The 21,109-nt window shown below is 52.4% G+C and overlaps 1 protein-coding gene across 25 annotated transcripts in view; it reads right to left on the bottom strand.

The window, feature by feature from the left end:
* The window catches only part of SMARCA4 (SWI/SNF related BAF chromatin remodeling complex subunit ATPase 4), a 101,244-nt gene that overhangs the window by 57,905 nt on the left and 22,230 nt on the right, over positions 1-21,109 (bottom strand). For 14 of the 25 annotated variants that reach the window (XM_024451658.2, XM_047439247.1, NM_001387283.1 and 11 more), the window contains 12 exons: positions 19,996-20,245; positions 18,964-19,096; positions 17,776-18,180; positions 17,366-17,464; positions 16,445-16,703; positions 14,926-15,052; positions 13,046-13,219; positions 9,368-9,541; positions 7,989-8,156; positions 7,825-7,875; positions 1,210-1,340; positions 972-1,029 (listed from right to left, as the gene is read on the bottom strand). In XM_024451658.2, the coding sequence (XP_024307426.1) occupies positions 972-1,029; positions 1,210-1,340; positions 7,825-7,875; positions 7,989-8,156; positions 9,368-9,541; positions 13,046-13,219; positions 14,926-15,052; positions 16,445-16,703; positions 17,366-17,464; positions 17,776-18,180; positions 18,964-19,096; positions 19,996-20,217 (2,001 nt within the window). In that variant the 5' untranslated portion in view covers positions 20,218-20,245. Of the gene's footprint in view, positions 1-971; positions 1,030-1,209; positions 1,341-7,824; positions 7,876-7,988; positions 8,157-9,367; positions 9,542-13,045; positions 13,220-14,925; positions 15,053-16,444; positions 16,704-17,365; positions 17,465-17,775; positions 18,181-18,963; positions 19,097-19,995; positions 20,249-21,109 lie in introns of those variants that run through there. The other 11 variants (NR_164683.1, XM_011528198.2, NM_001128844.3 and 8 more) reach the window with 1 other exon arrangement.

The raw sequence follows: 21,109 nt of genomic DNA, 5'->3' as shown, positions 1-21,109 counted from the left end.
ACTGAGGCAGGAGAATCACTTGAACCCGGGAGGCGGAGGTTGCAGTGAGCGAGATCGCGCCACTGCACTCCATCCTGGGCTATAGAGTGAGACTCTGTCTCAAAAAAAAAAAAAATCACCAGTCAAGAGTTCAAGACCAGACTGGCCAACATGGTGTAACCCTGTCTCTACTAAAAATACAAAAATTAGCCAGGCATGGTGGCAGGTGCCTGAAGTCCCAGCTACTAGGGAGGCTGAGGCAGGAGAATCGCTTGAACACGGGAGGTGGAGGCTGCAGTGAGCCAACATCGCGCCACTGCACTCCAGCCTGGGCAACACAGCAAGTCTCCATTTCAAAACAACAACAAAAAAATCATAAGTCGGACGTGGAGGTTCATGTCTGTAATCCCAGCACTTTGGGAGGCTGAGGCAGGTGGATCACTTCAGGTCGGGAGTTTGAGACCAGCCTGGCCAATATGATGAAACTCCATCTCTACTAAACATAAAAAAACTAGCTGGACGTGGTGGCAGGCGCCTGTAGTCCCAGCTACTTGGGAGGCTGAGGCAGGAGAATTGCTTGAACCCGGGAGGTGGAGGTTGCAATGAGCTGAGATTGCACCAGTGCACTCCAGCCTGGGTGACAGAGTGAGACTCCGTTTCAAAAAAAAAAAAAAAAAATGGGCAAATGAGGCAGACCATTCCCAGATAAGGGATGCCAAGCACCTGAAATGCAGCCAGTGTGAAAGAGAAAATGAGTCTTAAATTTTATGTAATGTGACTGATTTAATTTAAAATGGAAATGGTCACATGTCGCCAGAAGCTGCCCTATTGGATAGGACAGCTCTAAAGCACCGACTTCGGGCAGGCCTGGGCCCTGCTGTTCCCTGCCCCACAAGATGCCCAGCCAGGGCAGGAGACGGTCACAACACACAGGGTGGAAGTCACTGCCAGTGGGCACTGAGAGCCTTGAAAGCCAGGAAATGCACTCTTACCTCTTCCTCTTCTTCTGAGCCACTTTCTTCACTATCAGACCTCGGAGCTACTTCATACCTAGAAAAAATGTAAGGGCTTTCATACAAATCTGCTCAGAGCCAGCAGAATTCACTTTCCCTACCAAACCTGCCGGGAATTCAAACAGAAGTAAAATTGCTCCTGGCTGCCACCTCCCTGGAACAAGGCCCACCGAGGACTTGGATCCCCACTGCATCTGGAATGCAAGGCCCAACTCACCCCGGGTTCATCTCGAGCCAGGCCTCCAGCTGCCCGGCTTTGGGGGCATCTGTGCCTGTGAGGATCTTCCCACTCTCCACGTGGATCACCTTCACCGGGAGGTCGCTCATCTGGCTGGTCTCGTCCAGAGGCTGAAAAAGAGTCATTCGTGTGACACTGAGGTTGCAGGGCCTCCAGACCAAACACTTACAGAGGCCAAGGTGGGAAGCACCCACTCAACTGTTTGCACAGAAAATGGCAGGCAAACATGGCCAGTGGTGGGAAAATGCGTAAACTGTATACTCAGTAATCCAGTAAAAATATATAACCCATCAACCTTGGCTGACACTTGTTTCTTCTTTTTTTTTTTTTTTTTTTTTTGAGACGGAGTCTCGCTCTGTCACCCAGGCTAGAGTGCAGTGGCGTGATCTCGGCTCTCGGCTCACTACAACCTCTGCCTCCTGGGTTCAAGCAATTCTCTGCCTCAGTCTCCCAACACCTGTTTCTTTAAGGTAACTGGCATATACATTGTAATTTTCAAATAGTCCAGACACTCATAGCTGAAAATTCAGGCCGGGCTGGTCTCAAACTTCTGGCCTCATGTGATCCACCCGCCTTGGCCTCCCAAAGTGCTGGGATTCCAGGCGTGAGCCACTATGCTCGGCCCATTTTTATTTTTTATTTTTATTTATTTATTTTTTTGAGATGGAGTCTCACTCTGTTGCCCAGGCTGGAGTGCAGTGGTGCGGTATCGGCTCACTGCAAGCTCCACCTCCCAGGTTCATGCCATTCTCCTGCCTCAGCCTCCAGAGTAGCTGGGACTACAGGTGCCCATCACCATGCCCAGCTAATTTTTAGTATTTTTAGTGGAGACGGGGTTTCACTGTGTTAGCCAAGACAGTCTCGATCTCCTGACCTCGTGATCTGCCCGCCTCGGCCTCCCAAGGCCCATTTTTATTTTTTTAACGAAAACTGAAGAGCATCATGTGGGCTCTCCCCATTCTTCTGTGCTCCAGCCTAAGTTTTTCTCTTCACAGTTTTCCACTGGTATCAGTTTCCTGTCCATCCTTCCAGATCAATTCCATGGATAAGAAACAAGGACTTAGACGTTTCCACTTTCTCCCTCTTTTTTACACTAACGGTTATATAATTTACATTCTTTGGACCTTGATTTTTTCCCCCACTTATACTCTATTTGTAGATCTCATCAAGGGTCCTCATTCTTTTTTGTTAAAAAGCTAATTGAAATATTTCAAAAATAATTCCTCTTAGCAACAAATATGAAACTCCTCCTGTTGAGATTCAATGGATAAACATTTTCTCCCTCATCAATTCTTGTATATTTCCTAGAAAAAACTTCCAGGATGGAGAAAAAGTTATTGGTTTAAATTTTGGTTTTCATCTTCCAGGAATTTATAACTACCTGCAAAACTGCTGCGCTCACAGTGTCAATACCGTCCACACAGCGGAGGGATATCAGTCTCTACGCGCTAAAAGCTCACCCACAGAGCGGCCACCATAAGAGCAACCTCTTACCCCAACAATGGGCTCTGCAGGCTGCCTCAGTCAGGGACTTTCAACTCCACATCCTCTCTGGGATCACTGGGAGGAGCAGTCAAAGATGCCGATTGCTGCATGCCTCCCCTACACCCAAAATTCTGATTGAACTCCTCTGGAGTGAGGCTTGGGCATCCTCGCTTTTTAAGATTTTTAATTTACTTTTTATTTTTTGGAGACGGGCTCAGTACCATGGTTATTCACAGGTGTGATCACAGCCTCAAAGCCCTGGGCTCAAGTGATCCGCCTACCTCTGGCTCCCAATCAGCTGGGACCGCAAGTGCACACCACCATGCCCAGGTAATTATTTTATTTTTTGGAGAGACAGAGTCTCCCTATGTTGCCCAGGTTGGTCTTGAACTCCTGGACTAAAGCAATCCTCCCACCTCAGCCTCCTGAGCAGCTGCAACAACAGGCACATGCCTTCATGCTCAGCTACTACTTAGAAAAAGGTCCTCGGAGGATCACTTGAGCCCAGGACGTCAAGGCTGCGGTGAGCCATGACCTCATCACTGGACTCCAGCCTGGACAACAGAGAGACCCTGTCTCAAATAATAGTAGTAATAATAATAGAGAGCTCCCCAGGTGACTAGAACACACAACAGAGGCTGAGTACCACTGTCCGAGAACAAGAAAACCCACAAGCAGCAGCAAGTGCCGGTGCCTGTTCTCAACACTCCACAGGACAGGCAGCCACAGCAGGACTGAGCACAAGCTCCCACTTCATGCACTTTCCCACTTCATGACTTTTTTTTTTTTTTTTTGAGACAGAGTCTCACTCTGTCGCCCAGGCTGGAGTGCAGTGGTGTGATCCGCCTCCCGGGTTTAAGTGATTCTCCTGCCTCAGCCTCCCAGTAGCTGGGACTACAGAAGCCTGCCACCACGCCTGGCTAATGTTTGTATTTTTAGTAGAGACTGGGTTTCACCATACTGGCCAGACTGGTCTCGAACTCCTGACCTCATGATCTGCCTGCCTCGGCCTCCCAAAGTGCTGGGATTACAGATGTGAGCCACCGCACCTGGCCCATTACTTTTTTCTTGAGTCCTCCAGATGGCTTCAGAACTGTGAGACAGAACTGGCTGACAGAGAGAGACCCTGTCTCAAGTAATAAAAAGCTCCCCAGGCTGGAATGCAGTGGTACAAACACAGTGCACTGCAGCCTGGACCTCCTGGGCTAAGTTATCCCCCTACCTCAGCCTCTCGAGTAGGTGGGACTACAGGCGTGCGCACCAAGCCTGGTTAATTTTTTGTAGAGATGAGGTTTCACCATGTTGCTCAGGCTGGTTTCGAACTCCTGGGCTCAAGCGATCCACCCACCTTAGCAACCCAAACTGCTGGGGTTATAGGCATGAGCCACCACACCTGGTCCAAAGTAACTTCTTTTTTTTTTTTTTTGAGACAGAATCTCACTCTGTCACCCAGGCTGGAGTGCAATGGCCATGAACCTGGCTCACTGCAACCTCCACCTCTCAGGTTCAACCAATTCTCCTGCCTCAGCCTCCCAAGTAGCTGGGACCACAGGCGTGTGCCCCCACACCTGGCTAATTTTTTGTATTTTTAGCAGAGACGAGGTTTCACTATGTTGGTCAGGCTGGTCTTGAACTCTTGACCTTAGGTGATCCGCCCACCTTGGCCTCCCAAAGTGCTGGGATTACAGGCATGAGCCACCGCACCCGGCCCCAGTAACTTCTGGACACAGTATTTGGAACACATATCCTGAGGTAGAGGAACTCTATAAATACTGAACTCTAACTAGGAGACTTCTGCATAGAGGTGTCCATTAGCACTTTGGAACGTACTTTCTGTGTATTCTAAAATGGAGCAGGTAAGTAAGCCTATTATTGCTAAGGGAAATCAGGTTGCTGATTTTAGAATTATGGAAAGGCGGAAAGGATAAAAATTAACCCTGTGCTGTTGGATTAGAATTGGAGGTGTCAGTATAACCTCAAGATTCTTTTTGCGTGTGAGATAGGGTCTCACTGTCTTGACCAGGCTGGAGTGCAATGGTGAGATTACAGCTCACTATAGCCTCAAACTCTTGGACTCAAGTGATCCTCCCACCTCAGCCTCTCAAGTAGCTGGGACCACAGGTGCATGCCACTACACCCAACTAATTTTTAAAATTTTTTATAAAGACAAGGTTTTGCCATATTGCCCACACTGGTCTCGAACTCCTGGGCTCAAGTAGTCCTCCCATATTGGCCTCCCAAAGTACTGGGAATACAGGCATGAGCCACCATGCCCAGCCACAAGTTTTAATATATACAAACAGCAATGCAGATGAGTATGTGTACATACATCTATTTCCCAGATCCGGCTGCTCAGAGGGCCTAGAAGCAGTGATGGCCCACTAGCAGGAAGCACCCCCAAAGTCAGATCTTGGCATGTAAATATTCTTCTGTAATAATACGAAATATAGCCAGGCATAGTGGCTCATGTCTGTAATCCTAGCACTTTGGGAGGCCAAGGCAGGTAGATTGCTTGAGCTCAGGAGTTCGAGACCAGCCTGGGCAACATGGTGAAACCCTGTCTCTACAAAAAAATACAGAACACTTAACCAAGCATGGTGGCGTGCGCCTGTAGCCCCAGGTACTCAGGAGGCTGAGGTGGGAGGATCGCTTCAGTCCAGGAGGTTGAGACTACAGGGAGCCATGATTGCACCACCACACACTCCGGCCTGGGTGACACAGGGAGACCCCGTCTTGACAGACAAAAAAAAAAAAAAAAGGAACCAGGACTCCCTGGAGAAAGAGTTGGCTCCAGAGAGCTCAGGCAGGGAAAGCAGAAGAAAAGTCTGATGAGGAAGGAAGTGCTCCAGGAATGGTGGGCATGTACCAAAAGCAAACAGGAGCCAATGGCAAGGGGCTCCTGCTGGCTAAAGCTAAATGACCAAAAGAAATCATTTTAAAGGATCGGAATCCATTCATTCAACTAAACAAGAATCCGTAAGTCTACACCAGGGGTTGGCAGACCATGGCCACAGGACTAACAGGACCAAAGAGAAAGCTTTTCCTACTATAGAAAAACAAACAAATCAATGCAGAAAGAACGATGGAAATAAAAGTCACCATCCTGTAGCCATCAGAGCAAAAACTGATACAGGCAAAAAAAAAAAAAAAGATACTAAAAGGAGTAGCTGGAATTCTGAGGAGTTACAACATAGTTACAGAGTCTCAAGTATCTCCCTACAGGGTACTTACTGATTACAAAAGAAAAAAACAGTAACTGGACAGTGGAGATCCCTTGGCAGGGGTTCAAAGTCAGCATCACCAGTGACCTTATTTGCTAACCTCCGCCATGCACTCTCGATATGACACCCTGAGAGGGACTCAGGGCCATGTTGGGTCTGCCTGCCAGAGACACATAACCCAACTCCAACCACAAGGAACATCAGACAAACCAAAGTCCGGGGCCACTGGATGACATAGCTGGCCTGAAGCCAAGCGTGGTGGCTCACGCCTATAATCACAGCCTTTGGAAGGCCGAGGTGGGAGGATCACTTGAGCCCAGGAGTTCAAGACCAGCCTGGGCAACATGAGACCCCATCTCTGCAAAAAAACAAACACACACACAAGGAGCTCTTTAAGACTAAAGCTGACTAAAGGGACCTCCACTAAATGTGACCCAGGATTCTCTGCTGCTGTGAAGATAACTGGAAAAACTGGCCAAACCTCATACGAAGGCCTATAGATTGGATAACAGTGCTGTACCAATGTTCACCTCCTGTGTCCGTCACCTCGGTACAGTGTGCAGAAACAACCTTGTCTTTATGAAGTAGATAATGAATTACATGGAGGTAAGGCGCTGTCACGTCTGCATTTGACTCTCAAAGAGTTTAGGAAAAAACACAGGTGAAGGCCAGGTGCGGGGGCTCATGCCTATAATCCTAACACTTTGGGAGGCTGAGGCAGGAGGATGCCTGAGCCCAGGAATTGGAGACTAGCCTGAAAAACATATGGAACCCCCGTCTCTATAGAAAATAAATTTTAAAAAATTAGGCCAGGCGTGGTGGCTTATGCCTGTAATCCTGGCACTTTGGGAGGCCAAGGCGGGTGGATCACTTGAGATCAGGAGTTCAAGACCAGCCTGGCCAACATGGTGAAACCCCGTCTCTACTAAAAATACAAAAACTGGCTGGCCATGGTGGATCAAGCCTGTAATCCCAGCATTTTGGGAGGCCGATGTTCACGAGGTCAGGAGATTGAAACCATCCTGGCTAACACGGTGAAATCCCATCTCTACTAAAAACACAAAAAATTAGCCGGGCGTGGTAGCAGGTGCCTGTAGTCCCAGCTACTCGGGAGGCTGAGGCAGGAGAATGGCGTGAACCCAGGAGGCGGAGCTTGCAGTGAGCAGAGATTGTGCCATTGCACTCCAGCCTGTGTGACAGAACGAGACTCCGTCTAAAATAAATAAATAAATAAATAAAAATAAAATTAAATGGGCGTGGTGGTGGATGCCTATAATCCCAGCTACTCAGGAGGCTGAGGCAGGACAATTGATTGAACTCGCGGGGCGGAGGCTGCAATGAGCCAAGATTGCACCACTTTACTCTAGCCTGGGCAAAAGAGCAAAACTCCATCTCAAAAAAAAAAACAACTTAGCTGGGTGTGGTGGGGCATAACCGTAATCCCAGCTACTCGAAGGGTAGGATCACTTGAGCCCAGGAGGTCAAGGCTGCAGTGAGCCATCCGCCACTGCAATCCAGCCTGGGTGACAGAGAGACCCTGTCTCAAAGAAACAAAACAAAACACAAAACGTGAAAATGGAGACTCTGGGTGAAGAACACACAGGACATCTCTGGACGGTTCTTGCACCTCTCCTGTAAGTCGGACGTTACAACAAAGTAAAACCTGAAAGATGAATCCTGTGGCACATGCATAGAAAAAGGTCTGGAAGAAAACACAACATGTGGGATGTGGGGTCGGGTGGGATGGGCGTCAGAGGACACCCTGGGATTCTCACCATCATCACATATCATTGTTCGTAATTTTAAAAGAACACAGGTTTTAAAGTCTGAAACAGACCAACGCCTTAGGGCTAGCTTGATACTTCCACAAGAAACCCTGCTTCCTCACCTCGCCATCCGGCCCAATGGCAGGCGTCTGTCCTTCTGCATTTTCTGCCTTCTGGAAATAGAGAGAGACACGGTCAGGCCCTGACCCACAAGGCTGAGGCCACACACGTGAAGACGGCTGCTCCCATCCCACCCGCGGCGGGCACCATGCCAGGCCCAGCACACCTTCTTTTTCTTTTTCTTCTTTTTCTCCTTGGCGACCTGGGCAGCCTTGTGCTGCCGCACCAGCTCCGTGAGGTTAGCCACGTACTCGTCTGTCTGCTGCAAGAGGTAGGCCAGGCGCTTGTCCTTCTTCTGGTCGATGAGCTTGCGGTACCCCTCCTCATCTTCAGCCTACAAAAGCATGGGGGTTACTGCAATGTGGTGGCACAATGTGCATGTCTGTGAGCACCCATGGCCAGTCAATCCAGAAGCGCACTGAGGGCACGCGTAGCTCACGCGGGTGCCGTGCCACCAGCCCTTCACACGGCAATCGACTCCTCATTCAGGAATCATTTCCTCAAAACCCACCAAGGGCTAGGTTCCAAGGGCACCCGCTAGGCAGACAGTCCCGCCAGCAGCCATTTACAGAGGCCATGAGCCAGTCCTACCCACTCTGTCCACGAAATACACCCCAAACCCGAAGCCTTCTCTCCACCAAGTCCAAGGTGCATCCCTCCCACCACCTCCTACAGCAGCCCCCCACCTTTCTAAGAATACATCAGATCACATCACCCCACAGCCAAAACCCTCCCGGGTGAGGCTCCCCTTCATGATCAGAACTCAACCCAGAGTCCTCCCAATGGTCTGAAAGGTCCCACCTCCCACCTGCCCCTGTAAGCTCTGACCTCACCTCCTGCCCCACACAACGCTGTTCTGGGAGCCCAGGGCTACCGGCTGCCCTGGCACATGGCTGCCTGCCACCTCAACCTTTGTCCGCACTGCCTGGGGCTCCTTCCCTGGGTCTCTGCGTTTGTGCATCAGGGCCACCCTTTGGGCCTCTGTTTCAAGGCTTTTACTTACTACCCTGTCCCTCCCCTTCCACTCCACTTCCCCCTCCTCACTGTAGCGGTCACCATCCACTACTCTGTTTGCTTCATTCGCGTATCTGCCCCTCAAGCACAACCAGGAGCCCCCACAAAGGCAGGGGCCATGTCCCCGTACACAGAGCAGCACCTGGCCCAGAACACGCTGCCAATATCTGCCCAACCAGCGACTCAGTCACAAATAAATGGTCAGAGATGTTTATGCTAGGGGTCGGGGGTCTGGATCACACCACCTGGCTCTCACAGAACGAGGGAAGGGGGCACCACCTCCATTTTCCAGAGAAGGCAGAGGAGCCGGCTAAGTGGCCTGAGGTCACACAGTCATTCTGATGATCAGAGAGATCAGCAAATATCCGAGCCCAGGACTGACTCCCAAGCCCGCGCCTGCTCTTTTCCCTCTGTCCCACCTCTAACTCCGAGCTGTGAAATGCCTTGGCGTAACCCTGGGGAGTGACCCCTGGAGCCCGCAGTACCAGCTACACATGTAGAAGAGCGCACGTCAAGAAGGCAGGACCATACCATGAGCCTCCGCATGCGCTCCTTCTCGATCCGCTCGTTCTCTTTCTTCTGCTCCCGCTCCGTGTTGGCATGGTACGTGGCCACTGCCTTGGTCAGCTTCTGGATTTTGCCTGTGACGGATCTGTGATATTCCTTGAAATCCTTGGCATGCTGGAGAATGCTATTGAGGTATTCCTGCAGGAAAGCACAAAAGAGAAGGCTGACCCTTCAGCAGCATGGTGGACACATCTCCCCGCAAGGCTTGTTTAAAACCTAGAATATTGGCCTGTAATCCCAGCGCTTTGGGAGGCAGAGGAGGGCAGATCACGAGGTCAGGAGATCGAGATCATCCTGGCTAACACGGTGAAACCCCGTCTCTACTAAAAATAAAAATAAAAAAATTAGGGCTGGGCACAGTGGCTCATGCCTGTAATCCCAGCACTTTGGGAGGCTGAGGCGGGCGGATCATGAGGTCAGGAGATCGAGACCATGGTAAAACCCCATCTCTACTAACAAAAAAAATTCAAAAAATCAGCCGGGCGTGGTGAGGGGCCGCCTGTAGTCCCAGCTACTCGGGAGGCTGAGGCAGGAGAATGGCGTGAACCCGGGAGGCGGAGCTTGCAGTGAGCCGAGATCGTGCCACTGTGCTCCAGCCTGGGCAACAGAGTGAGACGCTGTCTCAAAAAAAAAAAAAAAAAAAAAAACCTAGAATATCGCTTTGGGAGGCTGAGGAGGACAAAATGCCTGAGGTCAGGAGTTCGAGACCAGCCCAGCCAACATAGTGAAACCCCATCTCTACTACAAATACAAAAAATATTAGCCAGGTGTGGTGGCACATGCCTGTAATCCCAGCTACTCAGGAGGCCAAAGCAGGGGAATCGCTTGAATCCAGGAGACAGAGGTTGCAGTGAGCTGAGATCGCACCACTGTACTCCAGCCTGGGTGACAGAGTGAGACTCCATCTCAAAAAAATAAATATAATACATAAAATAAAAACGAGACTATTATGAAAACAATAAAGGGACACCCTTTGCCTGCCGCGGTTGGGTTTCTCTCTCTGATGATAAAACTCAGCACTGGCGGCAGGGCGCGGTGGCTCACGCCTGTAATCCCAGCACTTTGGGAGGCCGAAGTGGGCAGATCACAAGGTCAGATCGATACCATCCTGGCTAACATGGTGAAACCCCGTCTCTACTAAAAATACAAAAAATTAGCCGGGCGTGGTGGCTGGCACCTGTAGTCCCAGCTACTCAGGAGGCCGAGGCAGAAGAATGGCATGAACCCAGCAGGCAGAGCTTGCAGTGAGCCGAGATCGCGCCACTGCACTCCAGCGTGGGCGACAGAGCGAGACTCCGTCTCAAAAAAAAAAACAAACTAAGCACCGGCAACTGTGGGTGGGAAAGGCCCTCAAACACAGCAGGTAGGCACACAGTGCAGTCGACTGGCAGGGCAGCATGGCACGGATGTGAAATGTCTCAAAAATGCTTCCAACCCTTCACCCAACTTATTCCATTACTACAAATTTATTTTAAGGAAATATCAGAGACCAGCTCCAAAATGTTCAAGCCAAGAATTCCGGTCCTAGCATAATTTTTAATTTTCAAAAGCTGAAACATGCTGCATGTCCTCAAACAGGAAAAAGGTGACATAAATGATTAGATCCTGGACACATAGAAATGGAATACAGTGTAGACATCAAAAGTCATGTTTCCATGATACTTAAAAACAAAGCGATGTGGCCAGGAGCAGCGGCTCACGCCTGTAATTCCAGCACTTTGGAAGGCCAAGGCAGGCGGATCACTTGAGGTCAGGAGTTCAAGACCAGCCTGGCCAACAGGGTGAATCCCCATCTCTACTAAAAGTACAAAAAGTAGCCAGGTGTGGTGGTGCACACCTGTAATTCCAGCTGCTCAGGTGGCTAAGGCAGGAGAATCGCTTGAACCCAGAAGACAGAGGCTGCAGTGAGTGGAGATCGTGCCACTGCACTCCAGCCTGGGCAACAGAGTGAGATTCTGACTCAAAAAAAAAAAAAAAAAAAGCAAAGTTTTAGAAAAAATTTAAAAAGGGCTATTTAACCTTGTATTAATATACAAGAAAAAAGGCTGAAATAATATATATAAAAAAATGTTGGTGGTCAGGAGCAGTGGCTCACGTCTGTAATCCCAGCACTTTGGGAAGCCGAGGCAGGCGGATCACGAGGTCAACAGTCTGAGACCAGCAGCCTGGCCAACATAGTGAAACCTCATCTCTACTAAAAATATAAAAAATTAGCCAGGCATGGTGGCAGGTGCCTGTAGTCCCAGCTACTTGGGAGGCTGAGGCAGGAAAATCGCTTGAACCCAGGAGGCAGAGGTTGTGTCGAACCAAGATCGCACCACTGCACTCCGGCCTGGGCAACAAGAGTGAAACTCTGTCTCAAAAAAAGAAAAAAACAAACAGGTGTGGCGGCGCACATCTGTAATCCCAACTACTTGGGAGGCTGAGGCAGGAGAATCCCTTGAACCCAGGAGGCAGAGGTTGCAGTGAGCCAAGATCGTGCCATTGCACTCCAGTCCGGGTGACAAGAGTGAAACTCCATCTCAAAAAAAAAAAAAAAAAAAAATGTTGGCCAGGCACGGGGGATTACGCCTGCCATCTTAGCACTTTGAGAGGCCAAGACGGACAGATCACTTGAGGTCAGGAATTTGAAACCAGCCTGACCAACATGGTGAAACCCCATCTCTACTAAAAATACAAAAAAAAAGTTAGCCAGGCATGGTGGCAGGTGCCTGTAATCCCAGCTACTAGGTAGGCTGAGGCAGGAAAACTGCTTGAACCCAGGAGATGGAGGTTGCAGTGAGCCGAGATTGCACCACTGCACTCCAGCCTCAGTGACACAGCGAGACTCCATCTCAAAAAAAAAAAAAAAAGTTAACAGAGATTGCTGTGTTGACTGTCTAGATTATTTTACACTACACCAATAAGATATTAATTATAGAAAATCTCTAGAAAATCTATAAATGACCAAATCAGCACAATCATCCCCAAATCCTTACTTGATTTTAGATTTGAAGATTTCCGTCTTACTGATTCATCTTGGGAAACCCTGAGTCAGATCAGTCCCTGCACTGCCCAGAACCCTCTATGGCTCCCACTTTACTCAGAGCAAAAGCCCAAATCCTCCATGCAGCTCGCAAGGCCCTGCATCACCTGCTCGTCACCTCCCTGCGCTCCCTTCCTCCAGCTCTCCCCGCCACTCACTCTACTCTGGCTCATGCAGGTCCTTGCTTTCCAGAGAAAACACAGGCACATTCCAGCCCCAGGGCCCTTGCACCTTCTCCTTTTCCCAGAAAGCTCTTTCCCACAGATCTGTGTGCCTCCCTTCCTTGGGGGTCTGCCCAGATGTCACCTCCAAAAGAAAGAACTCCCCCAACATCAGTTCTACAACAGCCCGTTCCTTCCTCTCTATCCTGGCTTGATTTTTCTTTGTGCCCTATCACCTTCCAGACGTGCTACGCGTGGATTTCATCACTATCTTCTCCCTACCATTGGGTTTTTACACCAATACACTCTCAGTACCTAGAATACTGTTACAATGAGCAAAAGAGAGAGACAAGCAGCATGTTTAGGAACAAAGCAAACACAGCCCCGTGGCAACCGCTGGACAAGCCAGGCAGCCAGGTGGGCGGGCTGCAGGGCCTTGGGGCCACCGGAGCGTACCTGGTGCTTCTGCCGGCGCTTGCGCTCCTGCTCGATCTTCTGCTGCTTCTCCAGCTTCTCAGTGATGCGGGCCTCGCGCAGGGACTGGCGCTTGCTGCGCTTGTAGGCCTTAGCATTGAGGGCTGTCTCCAGCGCTGTGTCCCTCCGCATGCACACCACCACCTCCTGGCGCAGCTGTAGGAGGGAAGAGGACAAGCCCGCGCACTGCACAGCTCTGTGGCATCCACAATGACAAACACGTATGGTGATGTCACATGCTTCACCGCTAAAGGAGCATTGTAAGTGCCTTACACACCCAGTCCGTGTGTGCAGGGGACGTCTAGCAGGTGCCCCCGGGCAGGGCGAGCACAGGACAGAAGGTGATCACTTCTGGACATCTATCCAGGGGGTCCTCTCGGACCTCCAGCTTGCCTCCCCTCTACCACACACACGTCTTAGGAGTCATTCAGAAGTATAACACTCTTGGCTGGGTGTGGTGGCTTAACGCCAGTAATCCCAACACTTTGGGAGGCCAAGGTGGGAGGATTGCTCAAGCCCAGGAGTTTGAGACCAACCTGGGCAACATGGAGAGACCTCACTTCTACAAAAACTAGAAGAAAAATTAACTAGGCGGCCAGGAGCAGTGGCTCATGCCTGTAATCCCAGCACTTTGGGAGGCTGAGACAGGTGGATGGCTTGAGCTCAGGAGTTCGAGACTAGCCTGGGCGACATGGCGAAACCCTGTGTCTATTAAAAATACAAAAACCAGGCCTGCGTGGTGGCTCATGCCTGTAATCCCAGCACTTTGGGAGGCTGAGGCAGGAGGATCACCTGAGGTCAGGAGTTTAAGACCAGCCTGGCCAACATGGTGAAACACTGTCTCTACTAAAAATACAAAAATTAGCCAGGCGTGGGGCACATGCCTGTAATCCCAGCTACTCAGGAGGCTGAGGTGGGAGAATCACTTGAACCTGGAAGGCAGAGGTTGCAGTGAGCCAAGATTGTGCCACTGCACTTCAAAAAAATCAGCCCGGCATGGTGGTGCACACCTGTAATCCCAGCTACTCAGTGGCTGAGACAGGAAAATCACTTGAACCACAGAGGCAGAGGCCACAGTGGGGTGAGATGGCACCACTGCACTCCAGCCTGGGTGACAGAGTGAGACTCTGTTTCAAAAAAAAGAAAAATATAGCCAGGTGTAATGGTGCACGCCTATAGTCCCAGCTACTCAGGAGGCTGAAGCGGGAGGAGGACATGAGCCTGGGAGGTCAAGTTTGCAGTGAGCTGTGATCTCTCCACTGCACTCCAGGGTCTAAGCACAGTACCCTCAGAAATAGACCCATGCAGGACAGCACGTGGTGGCTCATGCCTGTAATCCCAGCACTTTGGGAGGCCAAGGCAGGCCGATCATTTGAGGTCAAGAGTTTGAGACCAGCCTGGCCAATATGGTGAAACCCTGTCTCTACTAAAAATATAAAAATTAGGCATGGTGGCACACGCTTGTAATCCCAGCTACTTGGGAGGCTGAAGCAGAAGAATTGCTTGATCCCAGGAGGCGTTGGTTGCAGTGAGCAGAGTTTATGCCACTGCACTCCAGCCTAGGTGATAGAGCAAGACTGTTTCCAAAAAAAAAAAAAAAGGGAAAGGGAAAGGAAGAAAGAAGCCCATACAAGTCTGCTTTGAGGCGGCAAGTGCTTTAGGGTAGTGAGGTCCACGTCCCCAGCACTGCGCAGGCCGTAAGAGGAAGGCTCTGCAGTGATTGAGTGCCCATGGATGGCCACGGCTGCTTTTCACAGCCCAGGCAGGTGTAATACTAGCCAGGCAAGCCGTATTTGGAGCCTTAGCAGCAGTGTTGGTGACAAAGGCCCTTTTCGGAAAGCTGCGGCCATGCCAGCACCCACCTGCCTCTGGAAGTTCAGCAGCCTGAGGGCCTTGAGCTCAATGGTCGCTTTGGTTCGCAAATCCCCGGCCAGGGACCCGGGAAGGTTTTCAAGTTCCTGAATTCGGTGTGCGATGCGAGCCTGCAGCCTGGGAGCAGAGACAAGGAGCAAAGGCGGTGAGAGGGTTGCCAGGGCACCCAGTTACAGCTGGAGCTGCAGGGGACCCATCCCTCGAGAGAGGCAGGCACTAGTCATGAGGCAAGAGATGCCTCAGAAGAGGATGCTGGCCGCAGGGCACAGCAGAGAGGGAGATAGCCCGGGGCACTCCTCAGGACCGGGCCTCAGGGGACAGCAAACAAGATTCCTGATAGACGCGCCCAGGTCATGCCTTTTCAGTGGTGTGAGCCAGGTTCTGGCGTCAGGCGGGCCAAGGTTTTCATGCAGCTCTGGCATGGATGAGGCGCAGGGCGGTGGGAATCTATTTCAACTGCACACCTCAGCATTCTCACCTCAAAACTGAGGCAACCCCTCGGAGTGACCCTAGAGGCTTGGTCTGAAGGTTACGAAGGTTACATGCGAAGGTTATGTGGGCTAATTCTCTTAATCAGTCTTTCTGCACATACTCATTGAGCACCAACTGTATGCCAGGGACCATTTTAAGTGCAGGGCCTTAGCACTAAACAAGAACAACAAAGCAAGGAACTCTCAGTCTCATTAGAAAACACAGGCCATAAAGGAGATTTAAAAAAAATAAAATATCCACTGCAATTCCAGAGAGTGGCTGGAAGTGACAGGAAGGGCCTCCATGAGGAGGGAACCCCAGCAATCAGGCCTGAATGAGTAGAAGGAGCCATGCACAGCCTGTGCAAAGGTCCTGGGGCAGGAACAAGTCTAACTTGTTAAATAAATGAAAAGAGGAACAGAGAGACTGGGATGGGTGAGGAAGGATGCTGGGCAGGAGTGGACATAAGGCAAAGCTTATTGGGCAGATAATTGAAGCTACAGGCAGGTTTTAATCCACGGAGTAGATCTGATATCAATCATAAAAAGAGAATTCATGCCAGGTGCGGTGGCTCATGCCTGTAATCCCAGCACTTTGGGAGCATCTGAGGTCAGGAGCTCGAGACCAGCCTGACCAACATGGAGAAACCCTGCCTCTACTAAAATAAATACAAAATTAGCCAGGTGTGGTGGCGCATGCCTATAATCCCAGCTACTCAGGAGGCTGAGGCAGAAGAATCGCTTGAAGCCAGGAGATGCAGGTTGCAGTGAACCGAGATTGTGCCATTGCACTCCAGCGTGGGCAACAAGAGTGAAACTCCGTCTCAAAAAAAAAAAAAGAGAGAGAACTCAAACTGCTGTGTGGGAAACAGACCGCAGCCAGGGTGGGAGCAGGGAGGTGAGGAAGGAGGTGTAGGCCAAGTGGCAGTGGTGGGCACAGGGCACTGTTTGCTAGAGTGGGGGAGAAAGTTGAGTGGCTTCCCCAGGGGGACATGGGGGACACAGGGCAGTGACCTTGGCAACTGGGCCCCGCCCTCACCTGTACTCGCGCTCCTGCAGGATCTCCACAGGGTCGAGGCCCCGCGGCTTCTGGATGGGGGTGATGCGGCTCTGCTTCTGGTGCAGTGGCACCATGGGCGCGGGCTGGGCCGGCTGCCCGGGGGACTGGGTCTGCGGTGGCATCACGGGCGAGGCGGCGGGTGGGACGGCAGGGGGCGCGGGGGAAGGGCGGCCCGTTGGCTGCGGGGGAATCAGCTTCTGAGGGGTGCTCGTGGGGGCAGCAGCATTCGCCATGGGTCCTGGGAGAAGGCAAGGGGCCAGGGCGTCATGTTGAGCTCTGGGGCCCATCCCGGGCTGGAAATGGAAAGCTGCTGAGCTGCTTGAGGCACTGGGGACAGGCAGACCCCGCCCATCTCCCACCTTTCACCCAGGGGTGTCCTTCACACCTGCCTTGGGCTCCAACCTCCTCCAGATCTCAGCCTCACCCTCGTCCTTCACACCCTCCACTGGGGCCAGCCCCAGGCTCCCAAGGCCTTTTTGTTCTGTCTGTGGCTCTATGGCAGCATTTCCTGTCATCTCCTCCTAGTGCCAACTAAATCCAGTGGAAGCAATTTGCCCCTCAATGCCCATCGCTAAACCTCAGGCTCCAAGAGGATGGGTAATGAGTCCCACTGCCTCTTTGAGCCCAACAGATGGGAGCCTGCAGCACTTACTGAGCAATTACATATACAGGGCTCAGGGACTGGGTGAAGGCCACAAGCTGTCAGAGGAGGGATGAACGACAGCCTTTGGGAACTGACTGGCTACAGGGGAGACCCGGGGACCACCACAAGAAAAGTACAGGCTGCAGTTCAGCCTGACCACCCTCGGCCCTTTCTCCCTGACAAAGCTCATCTCAAGGACCCAAGCTTGAGATGGGGAGTAAGGGCACGGGTGCACCACCATAGAAGAGGGAGCTCACCTTCAGGCCAGGGCTTGGGAGGCCCTCCAGGAGGCTGGCCTGGCATCCCGGGGGGCACGCCCGAGGGTCCTGGGGGAGGCATGTTGGGCCCTCCCATACCTACATGTAGGGAGAAACAAAAGAGAAAACAGTGCGTCCCAGGTTTATGCCTGCGCCCAGCCCCGTGGGCAGCCCTGGCTCCAGGGGACACAGCAGATACACCTATTAACCAGCGGCCCCAGGGGAAGCGGGGAGCTGGGGAAGCAGCATTTAGCTGCCCCCACCACCCGAGCACCCAGAAGTGCAGTATGGGCCCGTGCAATCCCAAACCGGGGAACCCAGTCGGCAACAGAGCACGGTCTGTCCACCCCGCCACCCACGCCCCAGCCATTCGCTCTGAGACACCTGAGGGCCAGGGCAGCCAGTCTTACCATGAGGCCTGCTGTAATTTGGAGGTGCCGGGCCGGGACCCGGGCCGGGGCCAGGGCCAGGGCCAGGGCCGGGTCCTGTTGCGGACACCGAGGGTGGAGGTAGCGTTGGCATCTGCTGCTGCATCCCGGGCATCGGCCGCTTGCCCTGCACCGCCATCTGCAGGTGGTCGGGGAGGGGCTGCCCCCTGGCCAGCATCTTGTAGGCCATGATCTGAGCTCTGAGCTGGTGCAGCTGGTTCTGGTTAAATGGGGTTGGGCCCCGGTTCTGCTGCCCCAAGGCCTGGGGGTCAGCACCATCCAGCGGGGCACCTCCTGGCCCGGAAGACATCTGGGGCCCCGAAGACGGGCCACTGGCTGGAACTGGACTAGAGGCATGCTCAGAGCCACCCAGGGGCGAGGGGTAACCTGCAGAGAAAGGTCAGCCCACTGGTCACTCGGCAGCATATGTCTGTGATTTTTACAGCCTCTTCCCCCTACACCAGCTCCTACTCTGAGACAGGGCACAGCCAAATGGCATCCTTCTCTTGAGTCAACCAGGGGCACCTGGAGGGCACATGCTGAAGGCACCTCAGCCCAGCAGCCGACCTGGTGGATTTGGTTTGGCCCACGTCTCAGTAAGGTGCTTCTGGTTAATGCTGAGAACCTGTGCATGAAATCACGGCTCTCTCCCGGCTTCCGCCTGCCTGTCCACAGGCGGGGTCCACATCCTCGGGCTCGCCAGGCCCACCCCCAACACTTCCATTCCCAGTGCAGCCCCTGAGCTTCCCACCCCTGATGACAGCAAGGCCTTGGAAAGTCACCCACCATATCACTTCTCAATTGTCCTCGTACAGAAAAGGCACCTGCTGGGCTCATTAAAGCAGAGTCCCAGGCCCCAGGAATCTGTATTTCCAGTAAGTTCCTGGGTGGCACGGGGCTGCTGCCCTGCACAGCCCTCCTCTATCACCCATGCTGAACATGGTCTGCCCCCCAACCAGCATTTCCCCTTCCAGGGCTGCTCCGAGACGAGGTGGCCAGAACAGAGCACCAGCCACGCCATGCCAGACAGCTCTCTGTGGCGGGCCACCCACCCGGCTACATCATCCTAGGTACTCCCTGAATCCATCCTGTGGGAACCCAGGGGAGGAAAATGATCTGAGGACTCTGGAGTATGACAAACACAAGGCAGGAAGGAACGCAGTTCTGTACCTTGGGAGTGCTGGTCCATGGGGCTGGGCGGGGGCCCCATCCCAGCATGGCCCCCTGACCGCATCCCCATTCCTTTCATCTGGTTGTAGCGCGGGTCGTCCGACATGCCCTTCTCATGCATGGACTCCATGGGCTGCGAGAGGGACCATGGCAAGGCAGGGTCAGCATGTGGAACGTGAGGTGGCAGCGCAGCTATGCGCTGCCCGAGAGAAGCTCGAGGGCACCGAGAACAGCCACCCGAAGATGACGCGCATCTCCCCAGTCCCCAGCATGACTCCAAGGCAAGGTTCTGACACCTACTTAGGCCTCGAGACAGGTACACAAAATAAATGTCGCCCAGTGGAGCACGAGCATATGGGAGACTGTGGTCAAGCAATCCTCATCTTCTACCACCCGGGACCTCCTGTGGCCCGTGACACTTAGAAATGTCACCTTTTCTCATGGATGCTAATATGACCTTTCCTTTCAGATGCTGTATGTATAAGGGAATATGTCCTCTAACCACATCCAGGGACATGCAAAAGAGACTTGTGACCATAAAGAGCCTTCTCCACCTTGCTGACTGAAGGCCCTGCTCAGCGCAGGTGAGGTAAAGACAGTGGCTGAGGGGCACGCCTTGGAGGAAAGGGAACCCGCTGCTCGGCTCTGCGAGCTGCACAGGTGAGCCTGACAGCCAGAACGGGGGAAACCACGTGGCTAAAAGCCTTTTTAGGAATTTGGATGTTTTTCTTCATTACCAAAAGAAAACTTTGTAGTGATATTCCCAAATTTCACATGCAGAAAGCAAGGGAGCGGGAAACGGTGGGGCAGGTGCCCGCGGGGCCCAGATCATGCGCCAGCACAGGCTGGGGTCTGACGAGCTGAACCTTCTGTTCATGGCCGTGGGCCCTGGGGTAGGGGGCTGAGCCAAGGCAGGACACCTCCAACAAGAAGGCTTCCCCCCATCCTCCAAGTAAGGCCCTCGGTCCAGAGGCTGCCTGCAGCCCTAGTGGGCAGAGGCCGCAGGTGCGAGGCGGGCACAGGGATCCCTACCTTGTGCATCTGGTGCATGTTGTCCTGAGGGTACCCTCCAGGCCCCTGGGTGGGGATGGGGTGTCCTGCTGAGGGCGGCCCTGGGCTGGGCCCCATCATGCTGTGGGCGGAGCCCGGCGAGGGACCCGGGCTAGGGCCCAGCATGGCTCCAGGGGAAGGGCCAGGGCCCGGGGAAGGACCTGGCCGAGGAGTTCCGCCCAGGGGTGGGTCTGGAGTGGACATCTTCACGGGAGCTGCAGACAGTGGCCTCCTGCTGGAAGACAGTCCTGGTCAGTCTGGGGTTCATGACCAAGGGCGAGGCAGGACAGGGATAGCAAGGGACAATCATACGGTCACATCAGAATCTACATCCCACAGGAAGCCAGTACCTTCCCCACCAGCCACCCAAACCGTTTCTCCATGATCACTCTCAGAGGAAGTCCTACATCTCAGGCACACAAGATCAGTCAGTCTACCCAGGAAGGGGTGGGCCACGCTCACAGACAAGCACTGCCCCACAGGGGCCTTCAGGGGCTCCTGCCATATTCCTGATCACGGCAGAGGGTGTCTCAGGGGGTGCTGGTCTACCCTTCACACTGCTCTCCACTTGCTTATCTTCCTAACAGAAAGAACAGGACTATAGCTCAAATAGCCTCTGACTGGCCGGGTGCAGTGGCTCACACCTGTAATCCCAGAACTTTGGGAGGCCAATGCGGGCAGATCATTTGAGGTCAGGAGTTCGAGACCAGTCTGGCCAACAAGGCGAACCCCATCTCTACTAAAAATACGAAAATCAGCTGGACATGGTGGCACACGCCTGTGGTCCCAGCTACTCCGGAGGCTGAGGCAGGAGAATCGCTTGAACTTGGGAGACGGAGATCGCGGTGAGCCCGGATCGCACCACTGCACTCCTGCCTGGGCAATAGAGCGACACTCTGTCTCAGAAAAAAAAAAAAAAAAACAAGCCTCTAACCGAAATTCCATCAATTCAGCCAAAACAGATATTTATGGCAAATACTGCTGGTTTTCCATTGAAAGTAGTAAGACCAAGTTTCCCTTAAAATAAATGAACTTAAGTTTAAAAAGGATAAAGTATTACACAAATAATGGCACTTTTTGGTCCCTGACACTTGGA

The sequence above is a fragment of the Homo sapiens genome, chromosome 19, assembly GCF_000001405.40.
Source record: "Homo sapiens chromosome 19, GRCh38.p14 Primary Assembly".
In the NCBI taxonomy this organism is placed as follows: domain Eukaryota; kingdom Metazoa; phylum Chordata; class Mammalia; order Primates; family Hominidae; genus Homo; species Homo sapiens.
The sequence above is the reverse complement of the archived record's forward strand: the minus strand, read 5'-3'. Positions and strand labels throughout refer to the sequence as shown.